The sequence below is a fragment of the Homo sapiens genome, chromosome 5, assembly GCF_000001405.40.
Source record: "Homo sapiens chromosome 5, GRCh38.p14 Primary Assembly".
Classification (NCBI taxonomy): Eukaryota; Metazoa; Chordata; class Mammalia; order Primates; family Hominidae; genus Homo; species Homo sapiens.
Genome location: NC_000005.10, coordinates 129721800 through 129741900, shown reverse-complemented (window position 1 = coordinate 129741900; position 20101 = coordinate 129721800). Strand labels below are relative to the sequence as shown.

The following is a 20101-nucleotide window of genomic DNA, read 5'->3' as shown; positions in this document are numbered from 1 at the left end:
TGATATGTGTGTGGTAAGTAGAGATTCTGGATTTAACGTGTTAGTTGATGTGACTGAGAGTAATTCTAACAGTTTGACTGAAAACTGGGCCCAATAGTGGTTCATATTGAGCAAAGTTGAGATGCCAGACTTCTTTGCTACAATGTAGTATAGAGAAAGGTATACATTTAGGAAGATTGGTTTTAATAAGATAGTTATGTTCATCCACCTGTTAAATATATTCCCCAAGAGGGCCCAGAGGGCATTCCCTAATCAAGGCTTTGAAAGATACAGTGGTGAAGGCAGCGTTGGAATCCTTAAAGAACTCTGTAGTGGCTATTCTCTGGAAGCCAGGAATAACGTTGGGAAATGCTGCCATAGAACTGATCTTATAGAATTTAATGAGTATAATAAGTTCCATATGGCCAGGAACCAAGTGACAGGATTTAACTTCCAAAGACCATGCGTGCATGGATATTATAAGGAGCAGCGGATTCAATGTAGTAAAGGGAACTGCTATGGTCTGAATGTTGGTTCCCCCTGCCACCCCCACAAAATTAATGTGTTGAAACTTAATACCCACTTAGTGATAGCACTAAGAGGTAGAGCCTTAAGGACGTGATTAAATCACAAGGCAGAGCTCTCATGAATGGAAGTAACCCCTTACAAAAGTCTTTAGCGAGCATCCTTACCCCTTCTGCCATGTCAGGACAAAACGAAGGCACCATTTATGATGAACATGTCCTTGCCAGACACCAAATCTGCTGGTGCTTGATCTTGGACTTCCCAACTACCAGAACCATGAGCAATACATTTCTGTTTATAAATTAGCCAGTCTAAGGTACTTTGGTATAGCAGTCCAAACAGACTAAGACAGTAACGGTTTGACCTGCAAAAATTTTTGGTATTGGCCAATTGACCAGGGAGTCCTTAGGACTGAAATATGTGGGCATTCTACTAAAGTGTTTCTTGATTTATATAACCATTATATCTCTATACTTAGTGAACACAAGTTGGATATGAATCACCATACCAGATAATTGCATTCCCTTTTTCAGTTTTCATTGGAGAGATGATTCTCAGACCCACAACTCCCTGAATGAAGGGGAGGCCAGTTCTCTTTGAGAATGATTCCTCAAAAACTTCCGGAATTTCACAGCTTGGTAAAATTTCTAGGAATTCAGTGACATGTTGAGATATCCCTTCTAAGTAAAGGACAAATTCCTGCCTCTAGCCCTTCCTAAGAGACACACATCCCATTTGGGCTGTGACAATGTATAACTCATTTTAGAATGCTACTTTACACATTATTACTGAGTAATCCCAAAGACTTCCAGTTTCATGTAGTGCACAGAATAAGGAGAGAATCTATAATCAGTTCAGGTTGCAATAGAAGCTACTCTGCTATTTAGGCAATATGGCACAGCAGATATGATGGTATTTAAAGAATCAGTGGCACATAAGGATCCTATATGGAGCTTCTGGCAGGATCCTATTGGTGAATCACAGTGAGGTCTTAATAACTTTGGAGAAAGCTGTGTCCTTTTTACAAATAATTATTTCTGTTTTGAAAAACTATTTCTGGTTTGCATTGAAATGCTAGTAAATGTTTAATGCTTGACCACAGGTCACCAAATTCCCATGTAACTTGAGCTGCTCATTATAACCTGGGTGGTGTCTGACACCACCCAGGTTACCTGTGCAGAATATCACTCCATCATCAAGGGTACAAGATTTGTCTTGAGCACAAGCTGAAGGCATAAGTTCCTTGAATAATTGGATCTGATGGTTAAGGGTCCTACTACTGCTACATTGCCTCCACTCTCTCAACCCACACAGCCTCATAGAGAATTTATTATAACGAATTGACTGAGACAGAAAACATTTGGTCCTGGTTTACTAATGGTTCTTCACAATATGCTAGCATAACCAGGAGTAGACAGCTGTAGCTCTGCAACCCTGCACAGAGGTGACCTGAATGATTAGTAAGAAAAATCCTCGCAGAAGGAATTCAAGCTGTGCATCTGGCTGTTTATTTTGACTGGAAGAAAAAACAGCCAGAAGTATGGATATGCACTAATTTATGGGCTGTGTCTAATGGGTTTGGTAGGAACTTGAAAGGAGCATGATAAAAACTGGTAATAATGAAGTTCTGAGGAAAAAGAATGGGGATAGAACTCCTTGAATTGTTTATATACTTATATTTCATTTGAATGTTCACCAAACAGCATACTCAGGAGAAACTGATCAATCATCAGGTGGATAAGATGACATGTTCTTTTAATGTTCATCAGTCTCTTCCATGCACCTCTGTCCTCGACCAATACCCTCAAAAATAAAGAGATAATGGTGGCAGGAGTGGAGATTATGCATGAGCTAAGCAACATGAACTTATTTTCACCAAGGTCAATCTATCTACAGTCACTGCTGAGGGTTCCACCTAATAATAGCAGAGAAGACATTATGGTACCCTTCTATGGGAGAAGCAACACACCATCTTGGTTGTAGGTTGATTACATTAGACTCCTATCACAGAAGAGGCCATGGCTTGTTCTTGCAGAAGTAGTCAGTTGATCTGAAAATATATTTGCTTTCCCAGTTTGTGATGCTTCTGCCAAAATACCATCTGTGGACTAAACAAATGTCTCACTCACTGTTAGGGCATTTCATACAATATTGTTTTTGTTCAAGGAACTTGTGTGACAGCAAATAAAGTGTGGACAGGGGCTCACTGTTGTGTAAATCTCTCATAGTACCATGCTCCCCATCACCCCGAAGCAGATGGCCTAACAGAATGATATGTCTTTTTAAGAAAGGTTTAGTCTCCTACCAGGTGGATGAAAACACTTTGGAGTCTGAGATAATGTTCTCTAAGATGTATATTTTCTGAACTATCAACCAATATATGGTGCTATTTCTACCTAGATTTATGGATTCAGGAGTCAAGGGATGGAACTTACTATTTCAATTTTTCCTTCTCCCATTCGTCTACTATTTCACATAAAATTTGTTGATATTGGTTAACCCTATATCTCAGCAATTAAATTAAAGGACCTACATAGGAATGGTCAATCTAGGAAAAAGGTGACCTCGATATTAAAACACATTTATTAAAATGAAGGCGAAAAATATTAATGACAGAAATGTAAAGAACTGTGAAGCTTTTGAGGTTTTACCTTACTTGCAACTTATCAAGTTAGCCTGTTATGATTTCAGGGTAGAAGACATGAGACTCCTGCATTAGACACAAAGGACTTTATTACTCACAGCGATAGTAGTAGCCAGGGAATCAGCTTTTCCTGTACTGGCTCGTTGAGCCCCATTTCCCAAAGGGTGACATGAAGAGAGCCAGGTGACCTCAGAACATACATTGGATTGTCTTATAGTAAAGAAACCCCAATTTTAGGGAACCTGAAACTTTTATAATGAGAAGTATGTTTGCCCTTTGCTCCCAAGAGACATACTATCTTCCAAGGCAGTTCACTCTATAAACATCCTCTAGAAGATACTCCAGAACAAAAGTAGACAGTACCTTTGTTCATCAGACATGTGGATATGTGACAAGTCTATGAAGAATTGTCTCTCAGTGGGAAGTTTTACATATTTTATTGAAAAATCTAAGAAATCATGTGAATCATGTATAATATTTTCTCACAAGAAAAATTTTAAGCTGGCTTTTGAACGTTTCACATAATTGTAAAACTTTTTAATTTTTAAAAGGAAGAAAAACACAATGAAACGACCACCGTATTATATGCTTTCTGTTTTTCCTTGTTCCTAGGGAAAAGGCTGAGAAATACTAGTAAATTTTCTAATTATGATTCGTGAGGCTAAGTACTATACTCTTTAATAAATCTGCTAAAAAGATACAGGGAAATGGGTGGATCAATGTTTTCTTTGTTAAAAATATTTAAAAAAAGCTAAAATCTAGTGATAACATGTTAAAATAATACACATTTTTTGTAAGATGTCACCATTTCTAACGATTTCTCTACACTATATCAACAGTGCAATTGTGATTCAGTGTAAATCATTACAGTGTTTCATTGTTACAATACTTGTGTTCAAGTACATGTTCATGAACATGATCAAAGTCTCTATTTTGACTTTTCTTTTCCATATCAAAATAAGGTTATAATTACAGCAGAATTTTTCCTATGGATGTCTATAAATCTGAACCAAATTCATAATACATTCTCTAAAAACCTGTTCAACAGCATGAGGTTCATTATGTTTACACATCTCCTGCAGGTGACAGAAAATGGGCTAATTCTGCAGCAGGACACCAAAAAACAAAAATAGTTTCTCTTCATATACACCTAAACTATTATGCTAAGTCAGTATACATTCTGGATAATTCAATGTTATTGGTGGGGAGAGAGTAGCACCTTAGAGATAGCCCTAACAAACAACGAAAACTTGTTTTAAGTATAATGATCTATTTTTTTCCTTTTTCTTTTTATTATATTACTGGATCCAACTAATTCATTCATATAAAATTATTTATGAAGCCATATAGTATAAATCAAAATGTTTGTGTAACCAAAACAAGCACCACATTGGATGTTTGGCAGGCAAAAAAATAAATTAATTTGATTAAATTATATGTAATCTGATAATATTTGGTCTGAAAAACATGCTAGTGTGTGTGTTTATAAATAATGTAATTGCCAAGAGCTGTGATCCAGCCAGCCTGCTAGAGGTCAACTCTTCTGCTGCAGCTTTTGGGCATAGAAGTCCCTGCATGTTTCACAGCAGCGCTGATACCACCGCATGTCCTGACATAGGTTCTTTTCACGTATCACTCGGCAGTACACTGGCCACTGATCTCCCAGGCACTTGAAAGTCAGAGCAGCTGTGAAACAGAACATAGTGAATTCACTCCATGCAGATATCATATATGTCAGTAAAAACCAACTTCAAGCGTTTAAGTGGGGCGGATTTTGTACACTCTCTTTGGTTCATTTATATTACCTTCTGGAATTTAAACAAGAAAGAGATACACACACATACACACCTCCTATGATTAAAAAGTAAAGAATGAATAATATTTTTACTTATAAATGTTTTTAGGCCTATTAAAGATATAATTCCCAGGTTCAATGTGTTGTACTTTTAAGCTTCAGTTTCATAGCTTGCATTTAAGTTGCTTTTGAATTTTAGTAGAGAAAATTAAAAAGAAAAATAAATGTGCTCAATATATCTACCTTTATGTGAATACAAATTAATAAATACTATTATTAGGGTTGAAATTACAAGGAAACAGCAAAGTAAAAATATGCTCACAGTTATTTCATATTCCTAGTTTCCCCAGATAACAGACACATCTAAATGGATTACCTGGAGCTGTGATTTCAGGCTTCTATAAAAATTAATGCATATCATCACAAGCGACTGAGATTTACAGCAATAGTTGAAGTGTTTGAAATGAGAAGTTGGTATAGAATATTTGGTCATGTAGACTTGGCCTCCCTTTTTGTAAAACAGTGTGTTCTGGAATGCATAATGAAAGTCACTGCTGCTACAATTATTTCTTTTGCATATGAGAATGAATCGTATTCTAATATAATTATTCTATTTTTAAACACCTTAGATTTTCCTAACCATTGTGCTTCTGTATTTTGGGGTATACCTTCAAGGAATAATAAATAGAGAAAATGCAATTTTAACAAATTTTTTCTTTTAATCCATTATTTTCTGCCATGTAATATTTCAAGGACTCCAACTAATTGTTGGAGAAAGGAATTATACTGCTATTGAATAAATGGATTTAGTACATCTGCTCTAGAATTGCTTAACTTTTTGTCTTAATTAGTGTTATTCACCTTGAACTCATTATTTCTTAGGAATGCTAGTTAATTATTTGGCCCTAAAAAGAGAATTTTTGTATTTCGAAGAAACCAAGCTTTCACATTTGATTGAGTCTTATGCCTGGAAAAATACACATGATAATTTATCTTCTTACATTTTGGTAATATTATTTTGTATGATTCCAATTGTTCCCCTGGAGATTATATGCACAGGTTAAAACCAAAGGTATTAAATATAAATTAACCCACTGACAATGAGGCAAGAGTGCTGTTAAATGCTACTAATAGTCAAGATGTAAATGCTAAATCATTCATTAGTATTTGTTATGCAAGTGTAGGCTATATCTACTTAAAATATGTAGTCTAATTCTCAATTATGGGTTAGATTAAATAACAGAAATTGAGGATATATATATGAAGGCATTTCATAACATAAAACAATGTAAATATCAATATAGTCAATATTACTAGAATGTATTTTTTATTTAGTATCATATTCTCAAAACTTAAAAAGAAAATAGAACTTCTTGTTTAATGGTGTAGATCCATGCACCCATTCTTCTTGAAAGACATTTTTTAGTCTGTGTCCCTCCAAAGAATAATTTATACCCAGATCACAAGGAAGGCTATCAACCATGGAGAAATCTAAGGCTTACACTACAATCTCATCTTTCCACAGATATTAACTTAATTGATAGTTCTGCCATGAGATTGATCCGAGTCTAAATTTTGGTTACAAAAAGACCTGGGGTGGTGTGGCATTATTTCCTGGACCTGGCTCTGATTGGACAACTTTGGGAATCAAAGCAGTTTAAGTTTTTAGGACTTTTTTACCCACCTGACCATTTGGACGAAATCATATTTAAATGGATCCAATTTAGTGCAAACCAAAATAATCAGTATAGATTTACAACTATCAAGGTTTAAAGTAATATACAAAATACAAGAAGCCATAAGCATTTCTATGTTTTTCAAAAGCATCTTTTTTTTTTGTCTGCTTACCCAGTCTGGGTGATGTTATGGTATTTACATTAATTTTCTCATTGCAGGGTTGAAGATGGCATGGCCTGTATGCTGCAGGTTTTTCTGAGGAAAAACATTCATTTCCATGTCTTCCTGTGATCTTATGCATGCATTGGATTACACGGGACTGCATTCCTTTGCCACAGGTAATTGAGCACTAGGAGAAATACAAGGTTTGTTTAGGTTCTTTTTTATTTTTATTTTTTGCTGTTATTATTTTCTAGGGTGTGGGAACATTCTCTAAATGTTTCTTAAAATTAAATATGAGCTGCAACATCCACAGTCAATGCAAAACATGGGTCAGAAACATTGATGCTCATAAATTGGGCACAATGCCTTTGAGAACCTCTGGCTGATCTGAGACAGAGTTTTGGGTAATGAAAAGGACATAAGAGTAAAGAAGGATAAAGAAAAAGGTACAGTATGACTTGAAGAGAAAGAGAGTGAATGACACCAGTAATGCTTGAGCAGACAGCTTTCCAAGGTCTAACACATGGTTTGCAAACAAATAATTGATTTATTATTATTTAATTTAATCATCGATGTTCAGAAGTTAGCACATGTCTACTTTTAGAGCTGGATCCTTGTTACAGTCTTTAAATATACTCATCTGCCTTATTTTCTCTGGCCTTAAAATGTTTATAAATTATATCAAGATGTCTTAGCCAGATATGTTATTAAAGTAATTGCTTTTTCTTGGTAGATTAGATGATGTTAGTATTATGCTAATAAAAATATTTGATAATCTGAATTTCTCAGGTAAAAGGTACTTTTTTTCTCTTTTTTATTTTTATAGATTCAGGGGATAGATATATAGCAAAATGGTAAGGTTTGGGCTTCTAGTATACCCACCACTCAGACAGTGAACACTGTACCAAGTACCTAAATTTTCAACTCTCTGCTTTTGGAGACCTCAATGTCTATTTTCTCTCTTTCTCTATGTCCACGTGGGCCCATTGTTTAGTTCCCACTTACAAGTAAGAACATGCAATATTTGATTTTCTGTTTCTGAGTTATTTCACTTAGGATAATGGCCTCCAGCTCCATTCATGTTGCTGTGAAATACATAATTTCATTCTTTTTTGGCTGCATATTATTACACACACACACACACACACACACACACACACACACACACACACACGCACACACTTGCTTTATCCAGTTATCTGTTGGTGGACACTTTGATTGATTCCATAACTTTGCTAATATGAATAGTGCTGTGATAAACATGAGTGGAGGTGTCTTTTTGATACAAGGATTTTGTTTCCTTTGGATAGATACCCAATAGTGGGACTGCTGAGTCAAATGGTAGTTCTATTTTTAGGTGTTTGAGAACCCTCCATACTGTTTTCTATAGTAGTTGTGTTTATTTACATTTTCACTAACAATGTATAAGTATTCCCTTTTCTCTCCAACCTCACCAACATCTGTTGTTTTTTGTCTTTTTGATAGTAGCCATTCTGACTGGTATGAGATGGTATCTCATTTTGGTTTTAATTTGCATTTCTTGGACGATTAGTGATGTTAAGCATTTTTTATATGTTTGTGGGTTGCTTGTGTGTCTCTCCTGAGGAATGTGTGTTCATGTCCTTTGCCCACTTTTTAATGGGGCTAGTTGTTTTTTTGTTTGTTGAGTTGTTTGAGTTCCTTGCAGATTCTGAGTATTAGTCCTTGTCAGATGCATAGTTTGAAAATATTTTCTCCCATTCAGTTAGTTTTCTGTATACTCTGCTGATTATTTCTTTTGCTGTGCAGAAGCTCTTTCATTTACTTAAGTCCCATTTGTGCCTTTTTGTTTTTGTTGCATTTGTTTTTAAGGTCTTACTCATACATTCCTTGCATATGCCAAAGTCCAAAAGCATTTTCTTTGGTTTTCTTCTAGGATTTTAACTTTCAGGTCTTATGTTCAAGTCTTTAATCCACCTTGAGTAAATTTTTGTATATGGTGAGAGATAGGGGTCCAGTTTCATTGTTCTGCATATGGCTATCCAATTTTTCCAGCATCATTTATTGAATAGGGTTGTCCTTTCCTCATTGCATTTTTTTGTTGACTCTGTTGAAGATCAGTTGGCTATAGGTATGTGGTTTTGTTTCTGAGTTCTTTTGTCTGTTCCCTTGATCTGTGTATCTATATTTGTACCAGTACCATGCTATTTTCGTTACTATAGCCTTGTAGCATAAAGTCAGGTAATGTGATGGCTCCAGCTTTGTTCTTTACTTAGGATTGCTTCAGCTATTCAGGCTATTTTGGAGTTCTGTATGAATTTCAGGATTTTTTTTCCCTAATTCTGTGAAAAATGACATTGATAATTTGATAGGATTTGTGCTGAATCTCTAGATTGCTTTGGGTAGTATGGTCATTTTAATGATATTGATTCTTATAATATATGAGCATGGGATGTTCTTCCTTTTGTTTGTGTCACTTATTTCTTTCATCAGTGTTTTGCAGCTCTCCTTGTAGAGGTCTTGCACCTTCTTAGTTAAACGTATTCCTAAGTAATTCTTTTGTGTGTGTGGTTATTGTAAATGGGACCGTCTTCTTGATTTCATTCTCAGTTTGAATGCTATTTGTGTATAGACATGCTTCTACATTGATTTTGTATCCTGAAACTTCACTGATGCCATTTATCAAGTCTAGGAGTCTTTTGAAGGAGTCTTTAGAGTTTTCTAGGTATACAAACTTATTATCAGCAAACACAGATAATTTGACTTCCCCTTTTAAAATTTGGATGTTTTATTTCTTTCTCTTGCCTGATTGCTCTGGCCAGGACTTCCAGGGCTATGTTGAGGAGTGGTGAGTGGGTATCCTTATCTTGTTCCAGTTTTGGGGAAATGCATTCAACTTTTTCCCATTCAGTATGATGTTGGCTGTGGGTATGTCATATACGGCTTTTATTAATCAAGTGCACTTTTAACCGATTTCTTGCATTTCAACTAAATGTTATTTTCATTTGTAAAATATTTTGCAAAGAACATATTTGATGTGTAACAATTTTTACCAGGGAAGTCTCTTGGTTTCATACATATATCACTAAATTTGTTTTTTGACACAAATAGTCTGATGCTAATTTGTCTGAGAAAATACCGTTATTTTATGGTATCAAAACTATATGTAAGAGGGGAAATGTGCTTGTGTTTCTGAAAATAATGATTTATTTACTAGCCATTTTATTTTCTATGTAAAAAGATAAAGAATATTTTGCTTAAAGGGTTTATTAATACAATTAGAATTATTTAAATGAATTATCTTGGTGTATTCTATTCTGATTACAAATTGGTAAATATTTTCTGATTGTCATCTTTTAAGTATACAGACATATCATTTGTAATACTTTTTTCCCCTGTATTTTCCTAAGTCACTATTAGTATTGCATTCTCTTTGCTGTCAATTCTTCCTTTACGATCATCATTGGGCTCATCTCTTTTCTTATTTTTCTTAGCACAAGAAGCATTCTGCACAAATCCTCATTATCTCAAATCTAATGTACTATTGTATGATTTGTTTTTAGTCCTCAGCCTACCAATGAATGGCACATATTAATTGAAAATGCATTCCTTCAAAATTTATTTACATATATATGCTCCTTGGACAAAAATCTTTGGTTATTGAGTTTACCATTGCCTACAAGATAAAGCCCAGTATCCCACTATATCCAGGCTGGCATGTGTTTACTTCTTTAACTTTGTATTTGACTCCATCCTATTAAAAACAATTTGTTATTTTATAAACTAATCATTTCCATGCAATTTCTATTTCTACCTCTACAGTTGTGCTCAGAGTAATACTCCTTTCCTAAATGCCATGTCTTTTTACAAAATTGTATCTTAGGCTGGGTGTGGTGGCTCACACCTGTAATTCCAGCACTTTGGGAGGCTGAGGCCGGCAGTCACTTGAGGCCAGGAGTTCTAGACCAGCCTGTCCAACATGGCGAAACCCCATCTCTACTAAAAATACAAAAATTAGCTAGGTGTGGTGGTGCAGGCCTGTAATTCTAGCTATTGGGGAGGATGAGACAGGAGAATTGCTTGAATCCAAGAGGCGGAGGTTGCAGTGAGCCAAGATCATGCCACTGCACTCCAGCCTGGGTGACAGAGTGAGACTCTGTCTCAAACAAAACAAAACAAAACAAAACAAAACAAAACAAAACAAAACAAAAAAACAACAACACTATCTCAAATCCAGCTTCTCCATGAAAGCTTCCACATTATCCTAACTACCTATGCATATTTATGCAATATTTATAAATTAAACCATATATTCATATGTTGAGTGTACACTTCAGAATGACAGGAGAGATTTTTCTTTAAAGACAATGATGGATTTTAAGACGTAGAATTTCTTAGTCAATAAATTCATGTGAGATCTGGGAATCTGCATTTTTAGTAAAAGTATTTAGCTGATTATGCTGTGCGGTCTGAGTTTGGAAATTACTGGCCAAAAGTACATGTTCTGTATTTAACATAGACCCTTTGTATTGCTTCTTGTCTGTAAGTAGTATCATGGTACTACTTATGTGGTAAATTATGTATTACTATTTGCATGGTAAATTATGTTAGAGTTGTTTGTATGTCATGTTCAATAATGAAGCCTATATTTCTGTTATGACAATAGCTTACTGCAGAATAATGGAATTTTATGTGCATGTCATGAACATGAATCTACAGATAACATAACTTTCTAAGTTTTACTCTGTATATATTTCTGCAAAATATTATCTTTGTATCTGATGAATTCTTAGCTTTCTGCAAATAGCAGATCAAAGAACAACAAACTAGGATGTTATGTCCTTTAAACCTGACTTTTTCTCTTAAACTTCTACAGGATTTGAATATTTCCAGTTCAGTGTAAGCTTTATTATAATTTCCAGCTATTATAGAAGGACTCTTTGACATGGTCTTTCTCCTTTAAAAGCCTTAATCTCAATACCACTCTATACAATGGATATAATCATATAAATAAAGACATGCTTAGAAAAGTATTTTCAGGACAATGCAATACAGTTTAACTAAAACTTTTAAGGGATTAATATTACATAGAACAAAATACTGTTCTAGTATCTATTCCTAAAATTTCTGTAAATCTTGAAAAAGATCACAATATTTGAGAAACCAAAAGAATAACAGAAGGCTTAGAAAGATGAGCTCACTCTGATGTGATAAAGAAGGTTCTCGATATTTCAAAGAGGCCCATAATTAGTCACAGACTATTCCTGACACTTTTAGTCAATCTTACATAATCAACTCCAAGGGATATGAGCAAAGCAAAGTAACACATCATTTTTCAGTATTATTGAAAATGACATAAAATAACAGTAGACACATGATAACTCACAATATATAATCTTAGCAGATAATGGCTGAATAGCACCTTTTATAAAATTTTGGGGTCTAAGAAAAGATGTTAGTTGCATTTTATAGGCAAATTACGTTTTGTAACTATTTGGGCATAACCTGGAAATAAAAATATTCTCCAAGAAATAATGGAAATTCTGTAATTCATTAAACTAAAACAGTATAATTTTCTGCTTGAGAAACTAATAACTAATAGATTTGCTTTATTATTAAAATAAATAATCTTTTAGCCTTAGAATCTAATTTTCATTAGAATATTTTAATAATAAAATATCAAGTTCTTACTAGTAAGTATTTTCTTTATAAAATATAATTTGGTAAAACTTTTATTACAAATATATGGAAAATGGACAGTCATTCAAAATAGAACAATTGAAATCCCAAGTTATCTTCTAAACTATTTATTATTTTTATTATAGAAGACAATATTGAATAATCAAATATCTTTTCAAATAATGTCACTATGATTAAAAACACACAGACATTAAAGAAAAAGCCAAAATAATTCTGACCTCCAAATTAGGAGACCTGGCTTCTAATTATTTGCCTTTAGCAAATAATTTACCTGAAACTTATTTTTCCTTTTTGTTAGACAAGGTATTGTAGTAGATCATAGCTGCAGGTTCAGGTCTAAATTACTATCAAAGTAAAACTCCAAATAATTTATTATTAAAAGTTACTGTCATCTAGGTGGTGAAAATTTCTAAGTGGTGAAGCTACCTAAGAGTAAAGACTCTAATCTCATTAACTATTATCCACTTTGCCAGCTTACAGTTGTGACAAGTCTTAGCTTTCTGCAAGTAGAAGTCCTGTCTAACATAGTCTTAAAATTACAGTTTGCTTGAATGTCTCAGAATACTACATTATTTATTTTTGTTTTCAAATATTTACTGACCACTCATTATGTTCATGGTCCTTTGTAAAAAATACAAACACCAGAGATTATTTACTATGGATCTGGTATTTTATTCAATAACATTTATTAACAAAACACAATGACATAAAATCAATGGAGTTAGAAGTAGATTACTACCACTGTGGAAGCTAGGCAATTTCATCCACTTTTAGCCAGTCATGTAATATTTAAATAATCAGTTACACTACAAAGCCACTTTGTTGCCTTGTGATCAAAGGAAACCAATAGTACTGTTATGGGAAAGGGCCTCTGATCCAGACCCCAAGAGAGGGGGCTTCTGGACCTCTTACAAGATAGAATTCAGGGTGAGTCCTTAAAGTGAAAGCAAGGTAATTAAGAAGATAAAGGAAATGAAGTCCTTGCCCATGCCTATGTCCTGAACGGTATACATATGTAACAAACCTGCACGTTGTGTACATGTACCCTAAAACTTAAAGTATAATTTAAAAAAAGAAGATAAAGGAATAAAAGAAGGGCTACACCATAGGCAGAGCAGGGCATGGGCTACTCAATTTAGTATACTTATAGTTATTTCTTGATTATATGCTAAACAAAAGGTGGATTATTCATGAATTTTCCGGGACAGAGGTGGGCAATTCCCAGAACTGTGGGTTCTTCCCCTTTTTAAACCACATAGGGTAACTTTTTGATGTTGCCATGGCATTTGTAAACTGTCATGGTGCTGGTGGGAGTGTCTTTTAGCATGCTAATGCATAATGTATAATTAGTGTATAATGAGCAGTGAGGAGGACCAGAAGACACTTTCATCACCATCTTGGTTTTGGTGGGTTTTGGCCAGCTTCTTTACCGCAACCTGTTTTATCAGCAAGGTCTTTGTGACCAGTATCTTGTGCCCACCTCCCATCTCATCCTGTGACTTATAATGCCTTAACCTCCTGGGAATGCAGCCCAGTAGGTCTCAGCCTTATTTTACCAGGCCCTATGCAAGACAGAGTCTCTCTGGTTCCAAAGCCTCTGACAGTACTACTTCTGAAAGTTTTTCCTCCATTCAATGCTAAGAGAAAGAAGCTAGTACTTATTTAGTGTTTATTATATGCCAGGCACTTTGTTAAAGCTTATATTTATTTTAATATCTCACATGAAGGCCATGAATACTATTATCCCTTTTAAACAGAGGAGAAAGTAGAGGCTCACATAAATTCACAAACTGTCTACTGTCTACGGTTTTACAGGCAAGAAGTGCTGGAATTAGAGTTTTAACTTAAAAAATACTGAATTCAGCATTTAAATGCTTAAGCACTATTTAATACTTGAAAGTTGCTAATATTTCTCTTATGTTAAAACCGAAATATTTCCCTTTTCCACATACTGCCATGTTAGACTATTATCCTACTTTACTGTTAAATTAAACATTAATGAATTTTGAAAGCTTTTTTATTGCATTTTTAGTATAACTCAGGTTATATGGTATGAGGTAAACTTTTGCTCTAAGGACAATTCATATGCATGATTCATCTTTAGATAGGGTGATCATATAATTTATTATCCATATCAGGACATTTGTGAAATAAGTTGCTGATAATAATTTTTGCCAGACTGTAGGCATACTGGGACAGTCCTGGATAAACTAAAACATCTAGTCACCTTCTCTACAGACAACCTACTGACAGATCATGTATTAGACAATAAACACAAATGAACAGACATATGAAATACCTATTATATTCCATGCCTCTAATATGCTTTTACATAGAATATCTTGGTTATCTTTCTCATAACCCTAACAACATTGCTAATGGAAAGTGTGAGGCATGTATTTCATTTATTCATTCAACAAATATTTACTGAGCCAATGTGCCATGTCTGGAGACTGGGATGTAATAGTAAGCAAAACAGACAAGAACAGGGGCCCCCAGGAGCTTACATCTTAATGGGGGAGAGGGTAAGAGCAAAAAAATAAAGGAGGAAAGTATACTATAATTTACATGTTAACAGGTACTATGGAAAAAATTAAAGCTGGGAGAGAGGATGAGAAATGTTTGGGATAAGGGGTTTTGTAATTCAAATGGGAAAATCAGGGTAGGACTCAAGGAGATCATACAAAGACATGCCCCATAAGGACAGACAAACCTCAAATGCAAGTCTTTTGATTCCAGATATAATGTTATTTCCACTATATGCACTATATAGTTTTATTCATACATTTGTGTGCTATGATGTTCCAAAATGTTTAATAACAAGGGGGCAAATGAGTAGAGTGGACCCTTAAGTAGGTGTTTCTTCAGATTCCATGGCGCTCTCTCTCTCCCCTTCCTTCCCTTCTCCCTTCTTTCAGTCCTTCTTTCTAATAAATGCTAAATCTCGCTCTTCACATGTGTATCAAGTAATTTAATGTATATTTGAAACAAGACACACTATAGAGTTCCACTAAAAAGCCAAATGCTAAAATGTCAACATCAATTTGCCAGCAAATGGGAAAGAAATACAGAGTTTACCAGATAACTTGCTATTGAAATTTCTTTTACAAGGAAAATTTTCTGACTAGAGTATTTTAAAAAGAGAGTCTTGTATTGTCTGATAGATATTCTGTTCCCCAAACAGTTTAATATTGCCCCAAAAGACCTTTGAAACAAAGCACCTCATGAATCTACTCCATGTACGAGATTTAATTCTGAATAGGAAACACAATCATGATGTCCCAGGTTTACTAGAGTAAAACGAAAGCAATCATCTTTAGAGCAAACTTAAACAGCTTAGAAAATTGCTTACAAGGATTTAGGACTTAAGCAAGTTTTTGACGTAGACAAACAACAAGACACAAGGAAAGTTGATGTCGATAATCCCTTTTCCCCACCAAAAAATAAGCCCCAAGGTCTCTGAAAGCAAAATTTGTTCCATTGCCGTAGTGATATTCATCAATTAAATCTACCTAAGGAAAGTACAATCTTCTCTGTACTTGGGTACACATGAGATAATTTCACCATGTAAACCAACAATAAAATTCTAAGTCCCCCAACTAATTGAATGGACCCCTCCCCTCAGCCAAGAGCATTCTAGAAGTAAACCTGAAACACAAATTTAGGCCATGAATGGGTGGTAGTGTTATGCTAGATAGTCAGGCAGACATGACCAGGGCAGAAGTGGGACTCTCCCTCCCCCGCAACCAGGAATGTCAGGCGACCATCAGGTGATGGTCAGGAGGTTGTTAACTGTCTCTCTAAAATAATAATTAGTTGCAACCAGCCCCTGGGGAAGGCAGTTTCTCTATAGATAGAAAAAACCTGAAACTGGTGATCAGCAACTTTCCAATAAGATCTCAGGAATTGGGCAAGTGGGCTCAAGCATAAGCATTAAGAGGAAAAATGGTGGAGTTTAACTCGTATATGACCTCCTAGGAATATTAGACTAGTAAGAGAAGAGCACCTTAAAGTGAGCATGCATGCAACTCCAGTAAACACACTGCGCATGCTCCCCTCCCAAGTGTGAGCCGGCCGTTGTGCATGTGGACAGCTCACCCCAAAAGAAGAACTGGGGAGAAGGAATGGAAGACCCCAGAAGCATGCCAACATATAACACCCCCAGTCAAAAGGTCAAACTGCACACTTGTCCTTCAAGTTACCTGCTTGGTCCTCTTCCAAGTTTACTTTCCGTCCTTTCATTCCTGCTCTAAAGTTTTTTAATACATTTTTCATACACTAGCTAGAAAGAAATTATTTAGGCAGTTTGTGAGAGTCAGAGAGTCCTTAGTAATGTTTTTCTTTTAATGAAAAGCAGCCCCCAAATCATTTCTTTTCTAACAAAGAGCAGCCTGTAAAATTGAACTGCAGACATAGAAACTAGAAGCTTGCATGGGTGAATGCCGGCAACTGTGCCAATAGGAAAAGGCTACCTGGGGCCCAGATATGTTCAACATTGAGGGTCCTTCTCCCTTTTTCTTTGTCATCCAGGTGTAGAATAAAGAACAGTCAACATGATGCCAGCCAAGTGGAGAACCCATCTGCATAATAGAAGATTAGGGTGGGGTGGCCAGCTTCTTCCTGTGCTATGCAAACAAACGGCACACTGGGTCCAACCAATCTCTCATGCCCTATGTAAATTAGATACTGTCTCCTCAACCTCATCTATAAAACCTCCTGCATTTCACCACAAAATCAGAAGACACACTCCGGAGTCCTTCTCTTTCTACGAAAGAGAGTTATTCTCTTTTCTCTTTCTTTTGCCTATTAAACCTCTGCTCTTAAGCTTACTTATTGTGTGTCTGCCCCTGGCATGAGACAACAAACCTCGGGTATTTACCCCAGATAATGATGCTGCTTCACTTTCACTCCTGCTATAAAACTTGCCTTGGTCTCTCCTTCTGCCTTATGCTTCTCAGTCAAATTCTTTCTTCTGAGGAGACAAGAACTGAGGTTGCTGTAGACTCAATGGATTTGCTGCTGGTAACAATAGAACACACCTGATTATACCCTCCTCCCTTTGGAATTCAGGCATAGCTGACCAGCATTAACGTTAAAAAAGAGACCTTAAGATTGACAAAGCAGACTCTTTGTAGCAATAAGAATATGACAGATAGCAGGCCCTGAAAGAAATCAAAGTAATTTACTCCAAAACTTATTTTCTTGACATATTTTGAAATGGCCATGCAAAGCTGCTCTTGTGGGAAAAATCTACATTCTGTAAAGAATCTCCTTCTCTTTCCAGGTCTTTTTCTTGATCCAGAAGAGAATTAACTAAGAATCTGGCATCTTTTTGAATCTGATAAGAAACATTTACAATCTATTCTCTCTGAAGCCTGCTAAGTAGAGGCTGCACTTGCATAAGAACAGTGGTCTCCGCAACCCCTTATCTTAACCTAGACACACTCCCTTCTATTGATTCCAGGTCTTTAAATAAATTCTTTCAATCAATTGCCAATCAGAACATCTTTGAATCCACCTATGACCTGGTAGCCCCCTCTTCAAGTTGTTTCTGTATCAAACCAATGCACATCTTACATGTATTGATTGGTGTCTTACGTTTCCCAAAAATGTATAAAACTAAGCTGTAGCCTGATTACCATGGGTACACGTTCTCAGAATTTCCCAGGGCTGTGTCATGGGCTGTGGTCACACATATTTGGCTCAGAATAAATCTCTTTAAATATTTTACACAGTTTGACTCTTTTCATTGACAACCTTATATTTCTTTTATAATGAAATAAATCTTTTATTGCCCTGGACATTAGTGACAATGTCTAAGATTATATTAAATTATGTCTATGCTGTGGCTCACATGTCAAACACTAAACATGATAGAATAATTCTCAATAATTTAAACACTTTGGACTCTCAAAATGATTAGAGAAATAGTTTAGTAAATGAGAAGCTCAAATAGAAATGCTAGCAAATCAACTTGGTAACAAGAAAAAGGCTTAATCTTCTTTACAAATGAAATATACCTTCTTAAACCCTATACTTGTTTTCAGTCTCTAAAGCTTAATTTCCTGCCATTTCCTACATTATTACCTGCCATTCTTATGCCAGGTAATAAGAGCCGAATGACTTTATTTTACCTGAAAATAATTTAATCTAAATAAACTAGCTGAAAGGGAAATACCTGGGGGAAGTATAAGCAATGTTCAAGTTTACAGAAGTGTAGAGTCGAAGTTTACTTAACTCAGATGTTTATATTTTTTCTACAAATGACCATGGATGATGTAGTAACAGATACAGACATGATCTCTTATAAAATTATATCTACTAAGACAGATGATAGCACTGAGCAGACAGGGTTTGGCATTACTGATAAACATAGGCTCAGATGACAAAATGATTTGACAAATTTATGGATTGGCCTAAACACAGACAAATGAGAGAAAATGAAAATGTGTAGGAAATAAAAACACACGCAAAAAATCTTAACAAATTCTTAACTCTGACATTATTGTAGAAACAAAGGGATGAAATGAACTATGAATAGTTGTGAAGTCCATTTCCTGGACAAAACAAGGTGTGAAATCCTTTCTTCTATCACAAAAGATGAATGAGACAGGAGACACTGCTGACAAGTTAAATAACACGAGAAAAGTGAACATGGAAATTTCACTCCTGAAATTGTATTACTTATGGCATTAATGGAAAGTGTTGCTGAGATCTTAGTTTAATCACTAGAAGAAAATCTAGGCAATATCATTCAGGACATAGGCATGGGCAAAGATTTTATGATGAAATCACCAAAAGCAATTGCAACAAAAGCTAAAATTGACAAATGGGATCTAATTAAACTAAAGAGCTTCTGCACAGCAAAAGAAACTATCGTCAGAATGAAAAGGCCACCTATAGAATGGGAGAAAATTTTTGCAATCTACCTATCTAACAAAGGTCTAATATCCAGAATTTACAAGGAATTTAAACAAATTTAGAAGACAAAAACAACCCCATCAAAAAGTGGGCAAAGGACATGAACAGACACTTCTCAAAAGAAGACATTTATGCAGCCAACAAACATGAAAAAAAGCTCAACATCACTGATCATTAGAGAAATGCAAATCAAAACCACAGTGAGATACCATCTCACACCAGTCAGAATGGTGATTATTAAAAAGTCAAGAAACAACAGATACTGGTGAGGCTGTGGAGAAATATGACACTTTTACACTGCTGGTGGGAATGTAAATTAGTTTAACAATTGTGGAAGAGAGTGTGGTGATTCCTCAAGGATCTAGAACCAGAAATACCATTTGATCCAGCAATCCCATTACTGGGTATATACTCAAAGGAATATATATCATTCTATTATAAAGATACACACACACATATGTTTATTGCAGCACTATTCGCAATAGCAAAGACATGGAACCAACCCAAATGTGTATCAGTGATAGATTGGATAAAGAAAATATTGTACATATACAACATGGAATACTATGCAGCCATAAAAGGGATGAGGTCATGTCATTTGCAGGGACATGGATACAGCTGGAAGACATCATCCTCAGCAAACTAACGCAGGGAAAGAAAACCAAACACTGCATGTTCTGACTCATAAGTGGGAGCTGAACAATGAGAATACATGGACA

At 35.3% G+C, this 20101-nt stretch overlaps 1 protein-coding gene across 11 annotated transcripts in view; it reads right to left on the bottom strand.

Annotated features, from left to right (window-relative positions):
* Positions 1–3217: 3217 nt before the first annotated feature.
* Positions 3218–20101, bottom strand: part of ADAMTS19 (ADAM metallopeptidase with thrombospondin type 1 motif 19) — a 278386-nt gene continuing 261502 nt past the window's right edge. For all 11 annotated transcript variants that reach the window (XM_047416876.1, XM_047416878.1, XM_047416877.1 and 8 more), the window contains 2 exons: positions 6792–6969; positions 3218–4834 (listed from right to left, as the gene is read on the bottom strand). In XM_047416876.1, coding sequence (XP_047272832.1) covers positions 4683–4834; positions 6792–6969 — 330 coding nt within the window. In that variant the 3' untranslated portion in view covers positions 3218–4682. The remainder of the gene's footprint in view (positions 4835–6791; positions 6970–20101) is intronic.